General features: G+C 35.1%; 1 long non-coding RNA gene across 2 annotated transcripts, besides 2 other annotated features; it reads left to right on the plus strand.

Annotated features, from left to right (window-relative positions):
* Positions 1,143–2,342: an enhancer, noted in NCBI's record as "P300/CBP strongly-dependent group 1 enhancer chr18:26734247-26735446 (GRCh37/hg19 assembly coordinates)". NCBI's record gives its function as "activates an origin of replication core promoter dependent on BRD2, BRD4, P300/CBP, MED14 and CDK7 cofactors, with strong dependence on P300/CBP, by STARR-seq in HCT116 cells {active_cell/tissue: HCT116}" and the evidence as "EXISTENCE:reporter gene assay evidence [ECO:0000049][PMID:35650434]".
* On the plus strand, positions 3,718–21,073 carry LINC02879 (long intergenic non-protein coding RNA 2879). 2 transcript variants are annotated; one of them, NR_186852.1, is made up of 3 exons: positions 3,718–3,945; positions 18,823–18,918; positions 19,604–21,073. It is a non-coding gene; the product is annotated as a long intergenic non-protein coding RNA 2879 (long non-coding RNA). The 2 variants fall into 2 exon arrangements; NR_186853.1 differs by having other exon boundaries at positions 3,718–3,835.
* Positions 10,676–11,875: an enhancer, noted in NCBI's record as "P300/CBP strongly-dependent group 1 enhancer chr18:26743780-26744979 (GRCh37/hg19 assembly coordinates)". NCBI's record gives its function as "activates an origin of replication core promoter dependent on BRD2, BRD4, P300/CBP, MED14 and CDK7 cofactors, with strong dependence on P300/CBP, by STARR-seq in HCT116 cells {active_cell/tissue: HCT116}" and the evidence as "EXISTENCE:reporter gene assay evidence [ECO:0000049][PMID:35650434]".
* Positions 21,074–23,343: the final 2,270 nt, after the last annotated feature.

A 23,343-nucleotide genomic window follows, 5' to 3' on the forward strand; every position in this document is an offset into this window, starting at 1 on the left:
GTACATTAGTCTGGGTTCTCCAGAGAAACGGAACTAATAGGATGAGTGTGTGTGTGTGTGTGTGTGTGTGCGCGCGTGCACGCGTGCATGTGTATACACAGAGAAAGAAGGGAGAGAGAGAGGGAGAGGCGGGGGAGAGAGAGAGAGAGAGAGGAGAAGAATTTTAAAGAATTGGCTAAAAAAAAAAGGACTGGCTCATGTGTCATGTGATTGTGGGGACTGGCAAGCTCTTATCTATAGGACAGGCTGTCAGGTTGGAGACCCAGGGAAGAGCTGATATTGCAGCTTGAGTCCAAATGCAATCTGGTAGCAGAATTCCCTCTTTCATGGATGACCTTAATCTTTCTCTCTTAAGGCCTTCAACTTAAAACAAATTTGAGACCCACTCACATTATTGCAGGTCATCTGCTTTACTCAAAGACTACTGATTTAAATGTTAATCTTACCTAAAAATACCTTCACAAGGACATCTACGATTGCTGTTTGAACAAACACTTGGAGATCACAGCCTAGCCAAGCTGACACAGAAAATTACCCATTGCGTTTGGCATTGATAGTCTGTGCTCACCAAAATTTAAAATTATTTCAGCAAACTCTTCTTTGTGGACATCATTATCTATCAAATTTAGAGGAATATAAATATCCCATATTCCTTCTCAACCTTCTTAAAAATTATATCATTTTAACATCCTTTTATTTCCAATATCCCCTTTCTCTATGTCTTTTTCATCTTCTCAGCTGTTGCACCCACAATACAACAATGCATGTCAGTTTTCCTGATTGAATTACTCTTTATGACAGGGAAGAGAGAAATCCCCATGATCCATTCCACAATTTTGAATCTCTGGTACCAGTTGATCTGTACTTCATGGCAGGAACTACACCATCCCCTGTTTCTATCCTCTTGAAGATTAATTTTTATGTGCACTCCTGTGTATATGTGTATGCTTGTGTTAATTCTCTTCAGATGAAATTCATTTATTTTTGCCAATCCGATATCTCTAAAGCAGAAGACAGAAATTTTCACAGCTCAATGAATGCAAAGTAATAATTACATATGTGAATATTAAAGAATTACAGAACTAATTATTACTCTTCCAAGCATAGACAATTGGAGGCAGAGGTAAAAACTCAGGAAACCCAGATATAGGGCTTAAAATAGTTAGACATTATAGTCATCCAAAGGGCAGCTCCTCTGTAAGATCAGACAGACATCCCTGTTCCTGCCCTTTGTTTCACTGATGTGCATCACTGTCTGAAAGGACACCCTGTGCTGGAAAGCCTAGGCAGAGGTTGTCTAGCAAATTCTTGTGTCTTCATACTATGCTGCATCTACTGAAATATGCTCCTTGAAGCAAATATTTAGGAAAAGATTTACTTTTATGTTTTAGGACAGCACATTCTACTTACAGCTTACTGAGACTGAGCCTCAGAAAATGTTTTATAGTGTCTGAGTAGAATCCTCTTGTTATAGAAAATAACAGTCTTCTGCCTAGACATATCCCATACGGAAACCAATAACAGTTGATCTTTTATTAATCATGTTACATTTTTCAGACTACTGTTTCAAATATTTTTACAAGGCCACAAAAGCCTCAGAACAAAAATGAGCACATAGTTGCCAAGGTACATTCCTGGGCAAGTGGCCAGAGGGGCAACCAGGTAACCCCAGCCAGACATTTTGTGATGATATGTGACATCATCTAAACCATTTATCCCCCTTTTGTTTGTGCTTTGCTCATTCGCTAGTCATTGTCTGACATTTACTACCTTTTTCTCCTCCATTGATCTATATTTAGAACAAAGCCCTCTGAGCAGGCACTGCAGGCTCTAGTAAAAATAATTTTTCTTTTACTCATAAGGTGAACTTCACCCCCAGCTATGAGCTCGTAATTCTGACATGCAATTCCATTATCCAGGAATTCAGATGCTGTTTATTGATACCATCTGCACATTCATTGTTCACATGTTAGGTTATTTTCTCAACTCCTAACTCTCAGTAAGACTATGTGATGACAGTGCCATCTGTGCTGCCAAGTTTTTCATCTTCTTACCAAAGAGGGTACACTCTTAAGGTGTGGTTCATGTCAGTATGGGTCGATAGAAGTGCTATGTGGAGAACAACATGGATGTGTCATTGAGAAAGGTGACACCAGCCCTAACTGGCAGCAATCCATATTCAGTCATTCAGAAACTATTAATGAGAAATCACGAAACAACATCCCTAGTTTCCTCTTTTAAGGCCCAGGTTGTCTTAAGCTGCTTTGTTCCCTTGAATTCTTTGTGGATATAGTTTGTAAAGAATCGTTCCTTGTTTTCTTTGGACCTGAAGACCAGTCTTTTAAAGCATAGGTCTACTCAAACCATTATCTTTCAGATGGTTTCCTGTTTTCCCTGATTTTTCCACATATGGGCCATAAACTGCGTAATACAAAGAGTAATAGATTGAGCTAGAATCCAGGTGTTCTTATTTCTAGTTCTAACACTGTAAATAACTTTGTAGTATTGAGCGCACATTAAACTATCTTTAGGATTCTATTTCCTCGTCTGAAACACTAGCGTAATGGGGTGGTAATTGTATAGCATCAGGGTGTCAGTTGACTTTTAAGTAGGAATTTATCTTTTCTCTCTTTTATGTAAGTAAGATACGAAATGGCATTTAGAAAAATGTTCACTGAGTTTTGAAAAAGAAAACACACTGCTTTGGTTTACTTTGTCTTTTTAAAAAGACAACATTTCACTATGATGTTGAATTACATTGCATGTTCCCCATAAACACTTAGAAGTTATAATAACGTTACTCATTTAAAACCCCTGCAGAGCTACCATGTAGGTAATATTTAAAGATCATTGTTCTGAATCAATGACATAGAATGAGTTACTGAGCTATCAACCGCCTGCATTGGTGACAAATGTAATTGTATATAAATGTTTTATATGATGCACAGATATGAGTATTTGATGAGTACATGCCATTAAATCCAAATATATTTATCATTGCTGTTCTGTGCAAGGATTTCATGTAATTTAAATATTTCCCTTGCATGAGATTTTCATTGTAAATATATTGCATTTATAAAGTCTTATTAATTTCACAGGCTCATGGTTTTACTATTTTCCTTATTAAGAAAATTTGCCATTTCCTCATTTTTCCTCATTATAATAACACTTTAATTCAGAAATTATCACATGAAGGATTTGGAATGATGGCAGACTTTGTTGCGACATTTTGCTTCACACAGCACAGCCTTGCTTTCTGCAAGAATTGTGCAGTGACAATGCCATGACCTTTAGATACCACACATCTGCCTAGGATAGAAGTATCTTTGTTTTCTTTTATCCCACACTTTTTTGAACATGTAATATATTCCAGGCCCCAAGATAAGCACTAGAAATACAAAGACAAAAAGGTACAATTGCTGCCTTTCAGTAACTCACTGTTTCATGTGAGAGGTGGATTCGTCAGGGCAAGATAGTAGATAAAGCATTGGTACGTACCCACCTCCACTTTTTTCAGGTCCCAACATGCAAGTAAAATAAAGGTAAAAAAGGTAAATAAATAAGTTGACAGCTGAGAGCAGGGTGGGGGCATCAATTAAAGACAGGTTTAAACACATTTCTGACAGACAAAAAGAGATGAATGCGTGAGTCATTAATCCAAGAACAGAAAGACAAAACCTAGAACACTTGAAAAGAAAGTTGCAGCTAATGAAAAGCGGACTTATTCAGCAGAACCCCCAAGAAGATGCAGACTAAGAAATGCCAATGCTTTGATGGGTACAAGGAAGAAATAGGACTAAGACAAGACAAATAATGGAGGACTTACATGGCAGAGGTAAATCACCCACATCTCTTTCTCCAACTCCTTATGCTCGATGCTCAGCATTGAAGCCCTTTACCCCAGGGACAAATACAAGTTTGACAAAGCCATCTGAGGAAAATAAGGTTGGTTAATTTAAGTAACAGAGACCTAGAGTGAAGTCTTCTTTGTACTTTCTTGTCCTGTTATATATGAGTCCTGCAGCATAAGATTCACCCCCATGATTTCTTTCTCTAAAGCATTTTGTGCTGGACACAGTCTCTCTGTCAATCTTCTTAGATCCTTATCGTTAAGTATGGTTTGACTACCATGACTCACCGTAAGTTCATAAAGGTACTGCAACATGAAATAGAATGATGAAGATATATTAAGTAAAAACTAATCCTGAGTAAATAAAGGGTAATATAGGAAACCAAAATAATGTTTAAAAGTCTCCTCAGGCGGATTTGAGGTTTTGGCCATGAGAATTAGAAAAAGAAAGAAAGAAAGTAAGAAAAAAATAAAGAGAAAGGGAAGGAAGGAAGGAAGGAAGGGAGGGAGGGAGGGAGGGAGGGAAGGAGGGAGGAAGGGAGAGAGGGAAGGAGGGAGGTTAATGAGGAGAAAAAATCTTGGAAGTTAAAGTCATTATTGAAACAACATATTAAATAGGAAAGTTGGAAAATAAATATGAAGTTAATTGCTCATTTAATATAACTACAATAAAAATAAAGGAATATGGAAGAGAAAAAAATATAGTTCAGGATGGCTAACACTTGGCTAAAAGAAGTTATTGGTAAAAAGCATGAAGAGAACAAAGATGAAATGATCAAAGACATAGTACCAAAAATTCTTTAAAAGCTAAAAAGAGAAACCAACCTAACTTAAAAGGCTTTCCATGTACTATACCTTAAAATATTTAGTCACATCATTGTGAAACATAAGAAAAAAATCCTAAAATCACCTGTAAATGACATATAATCAGACTATCATTCATTTAGCATTATAGATAAAAACGGAAACGTGCTTTCAAAATTCTCAGCAGAAATGATTTTCGATGTAGACTTACATACTCATGAATACTTTCACTAAAATGTTAGGAATGAATAAAATGCTTTGAAATCTGAAAGAACTCAGGAAGTATGTTTGAAAAAAATTTCCTTAGGAAATTAATTGTGGTCATATTCCAGCAAATTAAATGAGTAAGAAAGGAAAATGTGAAAATCGGGAAATAAATACAAGAGAACAAGATAAGCTCTGACATGTCACTTTGTAATTGACCTATTGTCTAGTTTAGATCAGAAGGACCATAACAGAATATAAATATATCAGCATATCACAAAGGAGAAGATGTAATCAACACACTACCTGGCCCTATTCTAAACTCTAATTTACATTTGCACTATACTTTTATGATAAACCTGTAGACAGATTATGAGATAATTAACTTTGCTTTAAGATAAGGATATAAAAGCAAAAATACAGGGAGTTAATAAAGATAAGTTGGAGGAAATGGGTGCACCAATGCCCTCATCTTAGAAAGGGGGTGTCAAGGCATAAAAATTAAGGTTCATAGACCATAAATAATCACTTGAATTTGCAGATGGGAACAGTGAAGATAGAAACAGAGAATTATGAGATAACTATTGGGAGTGCGGAGTGGATATATGGGTGGTGAGTTAAAAGCCTGGCCTTTTAGAGTGAGATATTAATAGATAATGGGTAAATTTGAAAAATCTGCAAGAAAGTTTACTTTTTACTTTTTTGGGGTGTGTTACTGTTGATAATTCTCAGGGTATTCATTGACAAATTAAATGTAGAAATCTTTGTAAATTGTTGCTTCTGGATAAGGGAGCTGGGTCTGAGGAATATTGAGGTGTTTATGTTAACTTCATTGCACACCCTTTGGTAGTATTTAGGTATTTTTTTAATTTTATGTGTTATTTTAATAAAAAGTAAATAAAATAATTGCTGTGTGAAAAATGCTAGGATATTGATGTCTACGCAAGTGTTTGTGTAAGAACATTCAGAGAGTGATGGTCAATTCCAATTGTTCTCGCTCCATATCCATTTTAGTAAACTATTTAAAATGCCAGGTCATGGATTTGGGTTTTTGCTTGGGGGAGGCTAATGAACTTGCTCAAATGCATTTGGTCTAGGGATATATTTACACACTGATCAATGCAATTTAATAAGTCTTATTGTTCATTTACCTCTCTTATGGGAATATCATTGTTTAATTTCCTTTTAATTGACTATTATTCATTATTTATCATTTATTAATACTTGTGTGACTTTAATTTATTGTTGGCTTTAATTTCCCTTCTAGTAATAATTTTCTTCAATTAGATTTATTTCAACGGCTTTACACACTATTTTCCTGGATAAATTTAAGGAGAGATTTAAATTTTAATGCAAAGTTATCATCCTTAATGCCATTTCAAACATGCTGGTCCATGCTCTAACCAAATGCTCCTGAGATAAAGTTCAATTATTTTATTGATCAAATGTATTAATGCATTGATGTTAAGTAATTAAATAACTAATGCAGGATATCTCTATGTAGAGGAACCACACAGCTGGAGTTTGTAGATAAGATCCAAAATATTGCTATTTCTCTGACTACCTAATGCTTTAAGGTTCATACTTTAGCAACTCTTCTTTTAAGCACTTTGTCTACATGGGTAATGCCTACCTCCTATTCATACTTTAAAAATTAATTACAACTTTTTAGGAATCATGTGTTTCATAATTGGTTAAGTAGAGAATCATAGATGTGAGCCCTATTTCAATGTCTTTGTAAGCTAAAGATTAAAGATAAAGGATAAGTCCCTACAGAATAACTGTTATCTTAGTTTCTGGTCTTGTCTGATGTCTAAAACAACTACTCTGCTATACCTTTCTTAAAGTGATCATTAATTATACTATCTAATTCTAAGTCTTTTAAATTTAGGGTACTTGTTTTTAAGATTCATTAAAGCTTTTGCAGTGGTAAAACACTGCAAAAGGGATCTAATATGAAATAGAACTTATTTTTAGATTCGGGTGCATGAGAATAAAGATGTTTTAAGATAGTTGGCAGATTTGGCATCTTCACTGGTAAAATGTGTTTTTATTTCTATATAATTACAAAAAATATGTAATTTATCCTTTCAAGCAGAGACTATAGCTGGAGATTGGAGCATAGCCAAAGTGTTGAAAATCTTGCAGAAGGGAGTGAAGGGTAATCCAAAAATTATACACTGGCAACTCTCACCTCTGCACCTGGAAAGCTAGTTTGAAAGATCTTGGAAGGTGGAACACAAATCATCTGGGTGAGCAAAACTCTTTAGGAATAAATCAGCCTGAGCTTTGCAAATGTAAATCATTCCCTCTCTGCCTTGAAAGGATACTTTACGATGCTTAACGCAGAGTAAATAAAGGAGGTTTGCCAGATGTATTCAATTTAGACTTTCAATGCCTCTTAAAAGAGATATTTTTATCCTGAGTATCACCTGACAGTGGGAATCTGTACCTACATTTAGAGAACACACAAGAAGCTTTTTTGCCATCTGGCCTATCTATGGTCCAACTTTACCAGAGACCACAGAGTTAGCTTCTGCCCCTGGACAAATCCATTTTTTGTTGCATGTCAATTCCCAAGAACCTGTAAATTCTTGGCAACAGAAGGAGAGGGAAAGTTCTGTTCATGATTAAAAACTGGATTAATTACAAAAGGCAGGATTGTGAATATTGTCTTGCTGCTGTAAAAAAAAAAGAACTGTCTGCTTATTGGAACAGAGTCAAATATTTAATTCATTATTTAGAATAGAGGGAGGTGAGCTTTTTTATGTTGAATTGCTAGGGACAAACACTTAGAGGAGATGAAGAATCCTGAGAAACTAATGCAAAGAGAGTAGACATACATGCACCCTCCCCTACTCCCTGTGACCCGTATTCTTGTCTATAGGAATATGAAAAAAAGAAAACATTTATGAATTAGTACCTTTCTTTAACTGATTCATGATCTAATTAAGAAGCTACGGCTAACCATGGTGGCTCACACCTGTAATCCCAGCATTTTGGGAGGCCTAGGCAGGTGGATCACTTGAGGTCAGGAGTTGGAGACCAGCCTGGCCAACATGGTGAAATCCTATCTCTATTAAAAATACAAAAATTAGCCTGGCATGGTGGAGGATGCCTGTAATCCCAGCTACTTGGGAGGCGGAGGAAGGAGAATCGCTGAAATCTGGGAGGTAGAGGTTGCAGTGAGCTGAGATCACACCCCGGCACTCCAGCCTGGGTGACTGAGCAAGACTATGTCTCAAAAAGAAAAAAAAAAAAAAAAAAGGAAATGCTACATGTAAAATGGTCATTAGCCTTAAAGTCAAAGGCAAGAGGCAAATGACTGACACAGAGAGGAAGTAAAAGCATATTTCAAAAGAAAGAGCAAGCACTCTTATTTGAGATGGTCAGTGCAGGTGTGATTTGTTCCTAAAAAGGGGTGCATGCCAGAGATTGGGTAAGACATTTGTCCAGGGTGGAAAATGTGGGCAAGGAAGACAGAAAAATTCAAAGTGATTTGTGCAGTATTTCATAGCCCACATAGCTAGTTAAGTACTATGATTAGCCAAATGTCTCCATTAATGTTTGTTGAATGGGAAACAACCATGATCAAAGCAAACTTTTGAATATATTTGTTACATATTATACAATATATGAAGAATGAGTCACATTCATGAGTGAGAGGCCTGAGATGCAAAAGGGTTGGAATGAGCCAGGTTTTGAACACTTACTCTGTTGAATAAAGATAACTTTTCTAAGGTAATTTATATGAATAATAAATATGAATCAAATGCAAACACACAAGTCCTTTTTAAAAACACAATGGAACTAGACAAGCTAAATCAATGTAAACTTCCAAGGAAAAATAAATAAGAAAGTACAGAAGGAAAACTTAGAAAGAAAGCACAGAAGATAAACTAGCCTTTCAGGATTTCAATGCACAGAAGATAAACTAGCCCTTCAAGATTGATGCTTTCAATAAGTAAAACAGTATACTACTAACACATGAAGAAAAAGAAAGTCCAATGGGAAAGAATAGAAAACTCAGAAACAAACTGACTTTATCAATAGATTAGGCAATAAATGATGTGGAAACAAGTAGAAAATCGTGTGATAAGAATATTAATTAGCATTAACACATCACATCAACTACCAGGATATAGTCCAACTGGCTACAACATTCAAATATATAAAATAAAGACATAAATATAGCTGAAGAAAATACAGAATTATTTTATCACCTCAAGTGGAAGGAGACTTTCTTATACTATTTCAAATTCTAATACACAAAATATTTTTTAAATTGTTAAATTCAACTCCATAAAAATAAATAAATCTATACCACAAAAAAATCATAAGCAAAGCTAAAATAATAATAATCCAGAAAACCATCCACTACTCATATAAGAGACAAATTACCATATTCTTAATACATAAAGAGCTCATATGACTAGATAAGGAAAAGATCGACACAGTCATAGAGAACTATGTAACACAATAAAGACATTGTTTACAGAATAGAAAGTAATATGACCTTTAAACATTAACAAAATATTCAACTTTGTTCATAATTAGAAAAACACAAACTAAGCCTTTACTGATTCTTTTACCTTTCTATTTGGCAAAAATTCAATTTTACTGATTTGCTGAGTTGCAGCAGTGCTGGTGGCAGTGTAAGAGACCCTATCGCTATGGGTAGAATTAGCAACATACTAAATGTATAAATGCATCTACTCTTCAACCCAATAATTCCATTCTTTGGACTTTATCCAAAAGATACACTTTTACCCATTTGAAATGCTATATGTGCAGGGGTATTCAAACAGCATTTACAACATCAAAATAGAAGTAACACTTTTATGTTACTGTCTTCAATAAATGAAAAACTTCCAAATACATTTATATAAAAAATTTTTTTTCAAGTAAAGGAATGACAGAACGATTTCATCTTTTGTACCAGAAGAGAGCATTACCAAAAATTTTAACCCATTCACCCACCAAATAAAGTTAAATCCCATCATTTTGCCATGAAGTAAAAATAAGACAAGGGGGAGAAACATTAGTGAACATGTAGAATTGTTCAGGAATCAAAATCCCTTAAAGGTTGACTTAAGTAGTAAACTATTTTGCAAACTTCAGGGAATATTAAAATCATAATAATAAACGCTAACATCCTGTAATATTCCAAAATATACTTTTCTCTCTCTCCAAGTACACCTATGTACTGCTGTTAAGCCCAGCACGTGTAGCTGTCAGGCAGGAGAAACCCTATTCATTGTGAATCAAATAAAATGCTGTCTGCTACAAAAAGAAAAGTGTTTTCCCTACTCTTGAGACTGCTTTCCAATTTTAAGAATGTATGAGACTTCTGTTTTAAAAATAGAATTTGACTCTTCATTTCAATTAATAACTGTATAATTATTTTCAGAGACTTGATCTTTATGAGGAAGCAGACATATTTGCAAAAAAAAAAAGTAAATAAAAATTAGCAGTGTAAAAGGATAAAGGCAAGAAACCTCAATGCTAAATATTCAACTCCCACATTGGCACCTTTACCTCAGCCTTCTGTCAGAAACAGTGTAAGTGATGGAAAAATGAAAAAGTAACATGTAGCGGCCTTGTTTTCAAAGTTGGAATTACTGGTGACTGACAAAGGAATCTACCATCTATGTCTGCTTGTCACTCTGGGAGTCAGCTGTTACTGGAAGAATAATGGATGTCCAACTTCTGATATGCCTTTCTTACCAAAGATGTGGATAACTATATTTCTGAATAATCATCAGCTCTTCTGTCATAAGTGATCATATTTCCACATTCAAGTTTGTTTTGTTTTTTCTTTCCCAAATTATCATGTGCCTGGAGAGTCATAGAATGGTCTCTCATGAATTCAAAGACACAGATTGTTTACTGTGAGGTTTAAGAAATTTACATGAATAATTTAGGTAATCATCTTACCCTTTTCCTCTGAAGCAATTGAGAAACAAGCACAGGAGTCAAATGAATATTCAAAAATTAAGTTTTAAAAACCAATAAAACCTGGATTGGAAGATGAAACTCAGCCCCAGACTGGAACCATATTTCTACTTCCTCCCCATCCCTTGTCCACAATGTTCCTTCTGCATCCAGAATCCAGGGGTGATGGCTGCAGTGCAAAACATACACTAGAAGATGACTTCATAATAGAGTGGTAAATATATAGTTAAGGATCCCAGAAAAAAAAGAAACTAGGGAACACAGTTTTTTACTCACTGGATAAATGAGTCTTCCTTTGGAAAAAATGAGTCAGAGAAGCCAGAGTGGGAGTATGAGATCCTGAATCCTGAGTCACTCTTGAGTGACTCAAGCCAACAGCAGAACACTATTAAAGTGCAAATATACGCTCTCAATTAAAAGCAACCACTTTTAATTCATCAGCATCTTCTCAAAGATAACAGCAGATGATCCAGCTGATACAAAGAACTACTGTCAAAACTATAATACTCAGAATTGAAAATTTCAGATGAAAAAATTGGAATATAGAAGGTATGGTGAGGTATAGGAGAAGCAGGTCCATGTGAGGGTCATAGTTCAGGGTTTCTGGTGTCTGTGCTGCTGCATTATAATTCTGGATTTGAACACAAACTTCAGCTACCATTTTGCTTTTTGCTAATCAACTTTCTAAGATAAAGACAGCAACATCTAACATCTGTATTATACTATCATCTAGAATTAGCAAGGTATACTATTTCTCTTCTACTTTTCTTTTGAGGCCACTTTATTGAGTTGCTAGTGCAAACTGTACAGGATATATTAATTTTTACCTTTAGTGGCATTATAAACAACCTCACCTACACTCAATATTAACACTGAACATAAACATTTGCTGACCACATCTAATTGTACTAAGCATCATACCTTAGCCACTTGGCAGATATTACTGCATTTACTATTCATAACTTTATGAGGTATCATTAAACCATTTTACATAAGACTCTGTTTCTATCTGAGAGTAAAACTTTTTCTATTGGGTGCAATCCCTTAAACAACTAAATAATCACCCAGGCAATAAGATAAGTGAACTTATTCAACATTTGATACTACTGAACACTGTATTTATCAAATCACTTTCTTTTCCTATCAAGAGAGAACTTTGTATTAATTCAGCTAGCACCCATGGACCCAGCAGTGGGCACCTACCTAAGGAAAACAGCAGTGAACAAGGCTCATGCTAGACTTCCTGTCAAGCCACCATCTAGGTGGCAATTGGTTGACTTGACACAGCTGAATTTTCTATTTTTTCTCAGAAGGCTAATAGACCTAGTAAGAAATGATGGAGTGTTAAGAATGTAAGAACCCGAAATCTAATAGAGCAAATGGTCTCCTCCAGGAAAGTATTATTTACTCATATCCGTATTACCTAGAAGTGGCAGAAAAGAACTGGAAGGGAAGATTGCTATGGATTACTGTATACTCCGCTAAGCATTCTCTGTGAATGAACTGCATTCTTGAGTGAATCACCACTGGCATTATTGAATAGTTTGAATTCCAGGGCTCTGAGCTACAATTTGGATGTTCCACAAACAGTGAGATACTGGAAAACTAATATGAACTCATTAGATTATGAGAAACTGAAATGAACAAAAGGAAAAATTTTTATTAACAGTCCAACATTAGTGAATTGGTCTTTATTTGCATTTTGTTGTTGCACCAATAGGGGATTTTTGACAGTTGTACTTTCATCAATTGGCTGAGAAAAATAATTTTTAAAAGATATTTAAAATGTATAAAATTTGCGTGAGTACATAGTAGGTATATATATTTATGGAGTACACAAGATGTTTTGATTCAGGCATGTATTTGAAATAAGCACATGATAAGGAATGGGGTCTCTTTCTCATCAAGCATTTATCCTTTGAGTTACAAACAATCCAATTAAACTCTTTTTATTATTTTAAAATATACAATTAAGTTATTATTGATTATGGTCACTCTATTGTGCTATCAAATAATGGGTGTTATTTATTCTTTCTATTTTTTTTGTACTCATTAACCATCCACACCTCCCCTCTATACCCCCATAACCCTTCCCAGCCTCTGGTAACCATCCCTCTACTCTCTGTGTTCACAGGTTCAGTGGTTTTTATTTTTAGATCACACAAATAAGTGAGAACATGTGATGTTTGTCTTTCTGTGCCTGGTTTTTTTCACTTAATGTAATGATATCTCAGTTCCATCCATGGTGTTGCAAACGACTGGGACTCACTCTTTTTTTATGGCTGAACAGTACTACTCTATTGTATATATGTACCACATTTTCTTTATCCATTCATCTGTTGATGGAGACTTAGGTTGCTTCCAAATCGTAGCTATTGTAAACAGTGCTGCAACAAACATAGGAGTGTAGATATATCTTTAATATATTGACTTCCTGTCTTTTGGGTATAGACCCAGCTATTGGATTGCTGGATCATATGGTAGGTCCAATTGTCGTTTTTTGAGGAACCTCCAAACTGTTCTCCATAGTGGTGGTACTAATTTACATTCCTGCCAACAGTGTACTAGTGTTCCCGTTTCTTCACATCCTTGCCAGCATTTGTTATTGCCTGACTTTTGAATATAAGCCATTTTAACTGGGATGAGGTGATATCTCATTATAGCTCTGGTTTGCATTTCTCTGAAGATCAATGATGTTGAGAACCTTTTCATGTACTTGTTTTTCATTTGTATGTCTTCTTTTGAGAAATGTCTATTCAAATATTTTGCCCATATTTTGACCAATCTGGTCAAAATTAGACTATTTAGAATAGAGTTGTTTGAGCTCCTTATATATTCTGGTTATTGATTCCTATAAGGTGGGTAGTTTGCCAATATTTCTCCCATTATGTGGGCTGTTTCTTCACTTTGTTGATTGTATCCTTTGTTGTGCGGAAGCTTTTTAACCTGATGTGATCCCATTTGTCCGTTTTTGCTTTAGTTGCCTGTACTTGCAGGGTATGGCTCAAGAAGTCTTTGTACAGACCAATGTCCTGGAAATTTTCCCCAGTGTTTCCTTATAGTAGTTTTATAGTTTGAGGTCTTAGATTTAAATCTTTAATTCATTTTGATTTTATTTTTATATATGGTGTTGGATAAGGGTCTAGATTCATTCTTATGCGTTTGGATATTCAATTTTCCCAACACCATTTATTGAAGAGACTATCTTTTCCCCAGTGTAGGTTCTTGGTACCTTCATCAACAACGAGTTCACTGGAGGTGTGTGCATTTGTTTCTGGGTTCTCTATTCTGTTCCATTGGTCTATATGTCTGTATGTTTTTAGGCCAGTATCATGTTATTTTGGTTACTATAGCTCTGTAGTATAATTTGAAGCTGGATATTGTGATTCCTCCAGTTTTGGTCTTTTTTCTTAGGATAGTTTTGGCTATTCTTGTTGCTATTCTTTTGTGGTTGTGTGTAAGTTTTAGGATATATTTTTCTATTTCTGTGAAGAAAGTCATTGCTATTTTGATAAGGATTGTATTGAATATGTAGATTTCTTTAGGTAGTGTGAATATTTAACAATATTGATTCTTCCAATCCATGAACATGAAATATTTTCCCATTTTTTAATGTCCTCTTGAATTTCTTTCAACAGTGTTTTATTGTTTTCATTATAGAGGTCTTTCACTTCTTTGGTTAAGTTAATTCCTTGGTATTTAATTTTATGCATGGCTATTGTAAGTGGGATTACTTTTATTTCTTTTCTTACGTTGTTCACTGTTGGCATATAGAAATACTACTGATTTTTGTATGTTGATTTTGTATCCTGAAACTTTACTGAATGTATCACTTCTAATCATTTTCCTATGGAGTCTTTAGGTTTTTCCAAATGTAAGGTTATATCATCTGCAAACAAGGACAATTTGACTTCTTCCTTTTCATTGTGGATGCCCTTTATATTTTTCTCTTGTCTGACTGCTCTAGATAGGAGTTCCAGTACTATGTTGAATAAGTGGTGACAGTGGCCATCCTTGTTTTGTTCCAGATCTTAGGCGAAAGACTTTCAGTTTTTCCCCATTCAGCATGATACTAGCTGTAGCTCTGTCATATATGGTTTTTATTATTTTGAGGTATGTTCCTTCTATACCATGTTTTTTTTTTTTTTTTTTTTTTTTTTTTTTTTTTTTTGAGACAGAGTCTCGCTCTGTTGCCCAGGCTGGAGTGCAGTGGCGGGATCTCGGCTCACTGCAAGCTCCGCCTCCCGGGTTCACGCCATTCTCCTGCCTCAGCCTCCCAAGTAGCTGGGACTACAGGCGCCCGCCACTACGCCCGGCTAATTTTTTGTATTTTTAGTAGAGACGGGGTTTCACCGTTTTAGCCGGGATGGTCTCGATCTCCTGACCTCGTGATCCGCCCGCCTCGGCCTCCCAAAGTGCTGGGATTACAGGCGTGAGCCACCGCGCCCGGCCTACCATGTTTTTTGAAGGTTTTTATCATGAAGGGTTATTTAATTTTATCACGTTTTTTCAGCACCAATTGAAATAATCATATGGTTTTTGTCTTTTAGTCTGTTCTTATAATCTACCACATTGATTGATTTGTGTACATTTAACAAACCTGGCATCCCAGTGATAAATCCCACTTGGTCATGATGAATGATCTTTCTAATGTATTGTTGAATTTGCTTAACTAGTATTTTGTTGAGGATTTTTGCATCAATATCCATCAGAGATTGGCCTGTAGTTTTCTTTTTTTGATGTGTCTTTGTCTGGTTTGGGTATCAAGATAACACTGGCCTTGTAGAATAAGTGTGTAAGTATTCCCTCCTCTAATATTTTTTGGAATAGTTTCAGTAGGAATGGTATTAATTATTTTTTTAAATGTCTGGTAGAATTCAGCAGTGAAACCATCAGGATCCAGGCTTTTCTTTACTGGGAGACTTTTTATTATGGCTTCGCTCTTGTTACTTGTTATTGGTCTGTTGAGGTTTTGGATTTCTTCCCAGTTCAGTCTTGGTAGTTTGTATGTGTCTTGGAACTGGTTTATTTCTTCTAGATTTTCTAATTTATTGGCATATAGTTGATGATAGTAGCCAGTAATGATTATTTGAATTTCTGCGGTATCAGTTGTAATGTCTCCTTTTTCATTTCTGATTTTATTCATTTGGATCTTCTCTTTTTCTTAGTCTGACTGAAGGTTTGTCAATTTTGTTTAACTTTTCAAAAAAACAACATTTTGTTTCATTGATCTCTTGTGTTTTTAAATTTAAATTTCATTTATTTCTTCTCTGACCTTCATTTTTTTTCTATTAATTTTAGGTTTTGTTTGTCCTGCTTTTCTAGTTCTTTAAGATGCATTGTTAGATTGTTCATTTGAAATTTTTCCTATTTTTTGATGTAGGCCCTGATAGCTATAAACTTCCCTCTTAGTATTGCTTTTACTGTATTCCATAGGTTTTGCTATGTTGTGTTGCCATAATCATTTGTTTCAAGAAATTTTTTAAATTTCTTCTTTATTTTTTGTTTGACTTACTGTTCATTCAGGAGCATATTGTTTAATTTCCATGTATTTGTATAGTTTCCAAAAATTACCTGGTTATTAATTTATAGTTTTATTTCATTGTGGTCAGAGAAGATGCTTGATAATATTTCAAATTTTTGAATACTCTTAAGACTTATTTTGTGACCTAATATATGATCTATCCTTGAGAACAATCTGTGTGTTAAGGAAACACTATATATGCTTCAGCTCTTGGATGAAATGTTCTGCAAATAGCTATTAGATCCATTTGGTCTATATTGCAGATTAAGTCTGTGGTTTCTTTGTTAATTTTCTACCTGGAAGATCTGTCCAGTGCTGAAAATGGGGTATTGTAGTCTCCAGCTATTATTGTATTAAGGCCTATCTCTCTAACTCTTATAATATTTCCTTTATATATTTGGGTGCTCCAGTGTTGGGTGTACATATATTTTAAATTTTTATATCCTTTTGCTGAATTGACCCATTTATCATTACATAGTAACCTTCTTTGTTGCTTCTTATAGTTTTTGTCTTGAAATTTATTTTGTCTAATGTAAGTATAGCAACTCCTGCTTTTTTTTTTATTTCCATTGGCATGAAATATCTTTTTCCCATGTCTTTATTTTCAGTCTATGTTTGTTTTTATAAGTGAAGTGTGTTTCTAGAAGGAAACAGATCAATGGGTCTTGTTTTTTCAATCATTCAGCCACTCTATGTCTTTTGATTGGAGAATTTAGTCCATTTACAGTCAATGTTATTATTGAGAAGTAAGGACTTATTCCTGCTGCTTTGCTATTTGTTTTCTCGTTGTTTTATGATCTTCTCTTCCTTCTTCATTTTCTTCCTGTCTTTCTCTAGTGAAGGTGATTTTCTCTTCTGATATGATTTAGTTTCTTAATTTTTATTTTTTGTGTACTCATTGTCTTTATTTGCTTTTGATGAGAAAATATATCACAAAAGGTAGAGTTACTGAGGTGTTTTCAAATTACTTATTAACATGGCTTTGTCAGGTGAATTTAGTGCACAGGTGGATAATTTGGTCAAAACTGGACAATAAGAAAATTCAAAACTAAAAGAATAAAAGTACCAGAAATGGATGGTCACAATCAGATGATGTTTGAGAAGATGTTTTATGTGGACCTGGAAGAACTGATCACTGGAATCACACACATTGATTAAGAAAGAATTATTTTGGGAAGCTTACCTTGTTTCTCTTTTGTCAGTTGAACCCTCCTTAATGTGTTAGCATGATTGGTACTCTGACAGATTATAAGAAGGCAGGGAACCAAGAAGACCGTTATTACCTTTCTTTAGTCTTAAAATTCAAGCCATTCATGCATCTTAAATACTAATCCTTTATACAAGCAATTATGTGACTCTCACATTAGATTTTTTATGAGAAGACACTGCCCTGTTCTCCCTGACTCTTTACTGCCAATGAACCAGGAGGTTGGACTAAATATGTAAAACTGTAAACTTGAAGAATTATGTCAAAACTGTAAGACAAACCTGCCATCAGGCATTATAGAAACAAATACTAAAGTCATGTTCAGTATGATAATACCAGATATTCACAAATACCATCCTTCACAGTAAGTATTTTGATTTATTGCAGTGTATTTGGGCAGAGGCCAAATTATTAACATTTAGAGGCTGGACTTTTCAAAATGTGAGGATGGGATAGTGAATGGATATGACAGTAAGCACAGTTTCTCTGTTGGGTGCTGTGGGGTGGAGAGAAGTTAATGTACACAAGTAGTTGACACAAAATGCTTTGATTTAATAAATTTAACATGCTTTCTTTAGTGAATACTACATTTCAATGCTTGCACTAAGTGCTGGAAAACTCATAACAGAACTTCTCATATAGTTATTATTTTTATTGTAATTTACATTGTGACAGAAAAGTCAATTCCTATACTTATCCCAATATCTTTGTGTGTTGAACTTCAATATCCATGTCTTATTAAACTAATAATTAATTTTTGATTAAATAATTTGTTTTGTCTAACATGTTATTTTCATGTGTGAGCGATTTTAAATACTTCAGTTGCATAAAGGAATAATGCAATGCCATCTGTTAAATATTTTTAAATAAATTTCTGTTTCATCAATGTCCTGGAACCCTTGAGAGCTGAACTATTTAATACCAAAGAAAGTATTTCATAAGGCCTGTACTATTCTGCATCCAATGTCTTCTCAAAATGCTTTCAATGTGCTTTGTGATGCTGTCATACTTTCTTTAAGTTATAGAAGAAAGTGACTTTTTTCTTGGTATAAGAAGTAATGTTTCTTGACTGGTGTGGTGTCAAAATTCTAATATATTAGACTGTATTAGTCTGTTCTCATGCTGCTAATAAAGACATACCCGAGACTGTGTTATTTATAAAGGAAAGAGGTTTAATTGACTCACACTTCAGCATGGCTGGGGAGACCTCAGCCGTGCTGAACTTACACCTTACAATTGTGGTGGGAGGGGAAGCAATCATGTCCTTCTTCACAACAGGCAACAAGGAGAAGTGCAGAGACAAGGTGGGGAAAGCCCCTTACAAAACCATCAGATCTCGTGAGAACTCATCCACATCACAAGAACAGCATGAAGGTAACGGCCTCCACGATTCAATTACCTCCCACTGGGTCCCTCCCATGATGTGCAGGGATTATGGGAACTACAGTTCAAGATGAGGTTTGGGTGAGGACACAGCCAAGACTTTTTTCTTGGTATAAGAAGTAATGTTTCTTGACTGGTGTGATGTCAAAATTCTAATATATTAGACTTTTCCAAGTTAGAATAGCTAAACAAATGTTTTCAGTCATAAGCAAGTGTGTTCCAGGCAAAAATTTGTATTTATGATGCAACTGGATTTATGTCCCTATGTTAGACTCCATAAGTGAGTCATTCTCATATGAAAGGTTATTATCTGCAAGCAGAATATAGCTATCCTCAGATTTTCATTGTTTTCCCATTTATGATTAAATATTTGTATTCCATCTTTATCTCCCAGTTTTCATTTTTACTGCTCCATCTGGTGATCAATCATGTCTTGTGTTTTTAAATAGCAATTTGTAGAGGGCTTAAAACATGTCCATTTTTTACACTGTCAGTAATAAAAAAAGTATTGCTTACAGTGTCTTCTGGGGAACACATTCATGTCATGCTCATCTGAGTCACTGAAAGATTTATGAAGAGGAAAAGGTTAAAGGGCAGACATTTTTAATGCTGAGAGTCTGATCAATACAATAAGGAATTACATTGCTAGACCTATTTATTTTTTCTTTATTCACAGAAACGGAACAAGGGGAATGCAATCTCACAGGATGGAAATAACCTGTGGTGAATTGTTGCCATCCAGATCCACTTTTAAGTCCACATGGTTCATTCATTTTGGACTAGATCCTGGTACAGCCCAGTGAACTGATATTCTTGAAATCAGGCACAGAGGCTCTGAAGTAATGCATTACATTTGCATCCATGATTTGCTTAAAATGTTCCATTTAGCCTTTCCTCCCAGGAAACAAAGCCAGCAGTATTTGATTATTGAATAGCTCGTTTTGGATGCTTAGTTTGAGAAGATTTTATTAAGATTATGGGAAACTTGAATTTTACAAAATGAATCATGAGTTATATTTCAGTTTTGATTTGTCTCCAAGGGTTGAAATACATAGAAGTCTAGGATACATTATATATTAGCTCTATTTTAGCATGCATTTAATGCAATCACAGGCAAAAATCAAATGCTTTAAAGAAAAAGATTGCAGTTTTAGAAATGAAGGATGTGAAAAAGGACGAATCTATATAAATAAAAGTGAACTTAGAGTAATAACATGCAATATAGTCTATGTAGATATGCATATTTTAATTGTATATTACTATTTGTCCCATCACAATAATTGGTTTAAACAATGGTGTATTTATATGTGTAAAACAAAGTTTGGTATGTGTGTGCACACATATACACACAGAAACACACACACACACTTTTCTAATCAACTAACATTTAAGAAATACCACTGAAGGAAATATTAATGACAGAAAGAGCTTTTCTGCACACAGAAAAGCACGCACACTCCTATGCAGCATACAAATAGGTAAGAGTACATGTTTTCCCTGAAAGAAGAGCAAGAGACCAACGGAATAAGCCCCTTTACTGGGTTCCCATATGGCTGAATGGTCTCAATATCTCAATCTTTAGAACATACCTCAGCATCTCCACATCTCCTCCTACCTCTGTCCTGTGTTGCTGGGACACAGGGGCAGGAAATGGATGCATCCCTTCCCATGCACGCCCAAACAGCTCCTCAACTCAATCTCAGCCCCATGCCTCTTCTATTCTTCTGTGAGGAAGTGGCTTCTCATGACCTATCCGAGAGCTCAGCACATGTTAAGTTCTCACACAGGCTTAAGCCAACATAATCGTCAACATTAAAAAGTAACAACATAATATTTGGGCGGATGATGTTTTCTGTTCATAATCAACAGTGACTTCTCAGAGTGGCCTTTTCTGACCTCTCTATCTAAATAGTACTTTACGTTTTCTCTATCCCCTCCCTAAATTACTCTGGTTCATTTTTTGTCAAAGAATTTTTACTGCTGAATAGTGTCATAGACCTATTCATTTATTTATTTTCTCACTCTTCCCAGTAAAATATAAGATGCGTGGAGAAGAAGTTTGTTTTGTTCCCCTCTGCCATATGGGAAAGAACAGTGGTGGAATTTAGTAGATGCTCAATAAATATTTGTTGATTTAATAAAAAAATTCATTTGTTGGGTTTCTTAAGTTGGCTTATCCCAGATGCAGATCCAAAGCCGAGGATGGAGTTGCAAGTGATGCATTAAGGATGTGTTTCCAGGAGCATCCAGAAAGGAGACAGGGACATGGAGCAGGACAGGAAAGGCGAAGGAAGCAAGAGTTTCATTTTAGGTGGACACAGGTAGTTCTCATGAGAAGACCTGAGATGTAAATTTCAACTCTAAGTTTTTCACCTGGAAGCAAAGGAACTATACTTCCCACCAAAAAATACCTAATTACTCGGAGCCCCTGATTGGGAGGGAGGTAGTAAACTTTCCCTCCTAGTTTGTTGTTGCCACACACCTCACTTAATTTTCTTGAACCACTTCGCTCTTTAGATGGTGACAATTAACTAAGTTGAGCAACTAATGTTTCAAAAAGATAGAGGGTCCCCTATTTTCCTATTAAATAAAGCATATACTTTAAAGTGGCCTAATTTTTACACAGTGTCATCCGGTCTGTGAAGCACTGTCATATGTAGTACTGATATCCTTTGATTCTCAAAACAACCCTTTAAGCTAGAAGTAAAAATGTTCTTTCTTTCTCTTGCCACATTTTGAAAAACTGAGATCCAGATAGGTTAAGTTTTAGTAGTTGAGCCAAGATTAAAAAAGGAGCTTGATTGCAGAAATTATTTATGTTCTTACTGCTATACCAAGCTGTCACACAAAGAGATTATTCTGCCTTTATTTTCTTAATCACTAAGATTCTAAAAATAAAAAAACTCCAGGCCAAGTAAGTGGGGAAGAAGAAATCAAACCAGATTAATGAGGGAAATGTTAACGACAGAAAGAGCTTGGAGGCTCTCCAATCACATTGAGCAGGGGCTGCTGATTCCATCTGTGCTGAAGAATAGTGTGACACTGCGCCACCCCCATGCTACCCGCCCCTCTGTTTAGTCCCTCATACTTACCATGTGAGTTGTCTTTATTCCATTGAATCCTACTCTAAATTCTGCATTTTAAGATTTTCAAGATTTCACTAATGGAAAAGAATTTGAAAAATAACATTTGAAGAATGGTAGTGGGCTTTAATAGTCAATGAAGAGTGAAAAGAAGTATTTGTTTGGACAAAAACCGAATCCAGAAAACAGCTGATGACCTACATACTAGCTGGAATGACTTTGCCTTCAGGTTATAAAAGCACTTTGTATCTATTTATTTGTCTGGCTACTGTGAAAATAAACACTTCTATGCAATCAAAATCTGAACTTCTGAAAAATAAAGTTTTTTAACACCTAAGTATGTTGGCACTTCACAGGTATAAATACTGATGTTTTTTGGAACTCTTCTTTCGTATTTAAATATGAGAGGTCACAGTAAAATGTTAACCTATTCTTTACAAATAAACCAAGTATAAAGACTTTGATATTCAACTCGGCTGTGCATTTAAATGTTTTGTGCTAAATTTCACCAAATATGTTTAAAATAATTTGACTACATTGTTAGAAAAGGAAGATGGTTTAAGACTATTTCTTTAGCAAAGGATATTATACAGAAGAATACAATATGGTTTGTGAAGTAGTTTTTAAGCCATTTTGTATACCTTATTTTATCCTGACGTTCTCTTTTAAAAATTTATATTAAAAATATACAATATGTCAGAATTGGAGAATTACAGAAATTTAGAGCTCAGGCAGATAACTATGAATTTTGTTTTAAATAGAGGAAAACGTGGCTCAGGGAGGTTTCTAACATCACGGAGCTCTGAAGTAGCCAGATAGATGCAAGAGCTACATCACAGAGATCACTGTTCTGAGCTGAGGCCGTTATATACTTTTTCTCATTTCTATCATAACATGTGAAACAACTCTGAATTGGATTGGTCCTTAACCTCTGGCTCCACAGACCTTTTCAGGAACACTGCTATGGATTTCCTGGATCCAAACTGGATTGTCTCAAGTCTCCTCCTCTTTCTTTTATTTATTGATTGGTAGATTTTGAGTCTGGCTGCAGCCCTGGACCTTATTTCTGTCAAAGTCTATTTGTTGAGACTTACCGTTAGACCTAGGGGTGGTAGGATGTGGGAACAAGGGTTCAGTACTGAAGTGGGATGAGATGTCTCTGCAACACTCATTACCTACCCATCACTGCCCTGCAGTATATTAAGGGATTAAAATGGAGATGTACAACAATGTATTATATGCACATGGTGCATAACATTATTCAACTCATATTATTTTTATATTAGCAATTTTTATCTGACTTTGTTACTTTGCATATCAATTCAATATGTGA

The sequence above is a fragment of the Homo sapiens genome, chromosome 18 (genome assembly GCF_000001405.40).
Source record: "Homo sapiens chromosome 18, GRCh38.p14 Primary Assembly".
Taxonomy (NCBI): domain Eukaryota; kingdom Metazoa; phylum Chordata; class Mammalia; order Primates; family Hominidae; genus Homo; species Homo sapiens.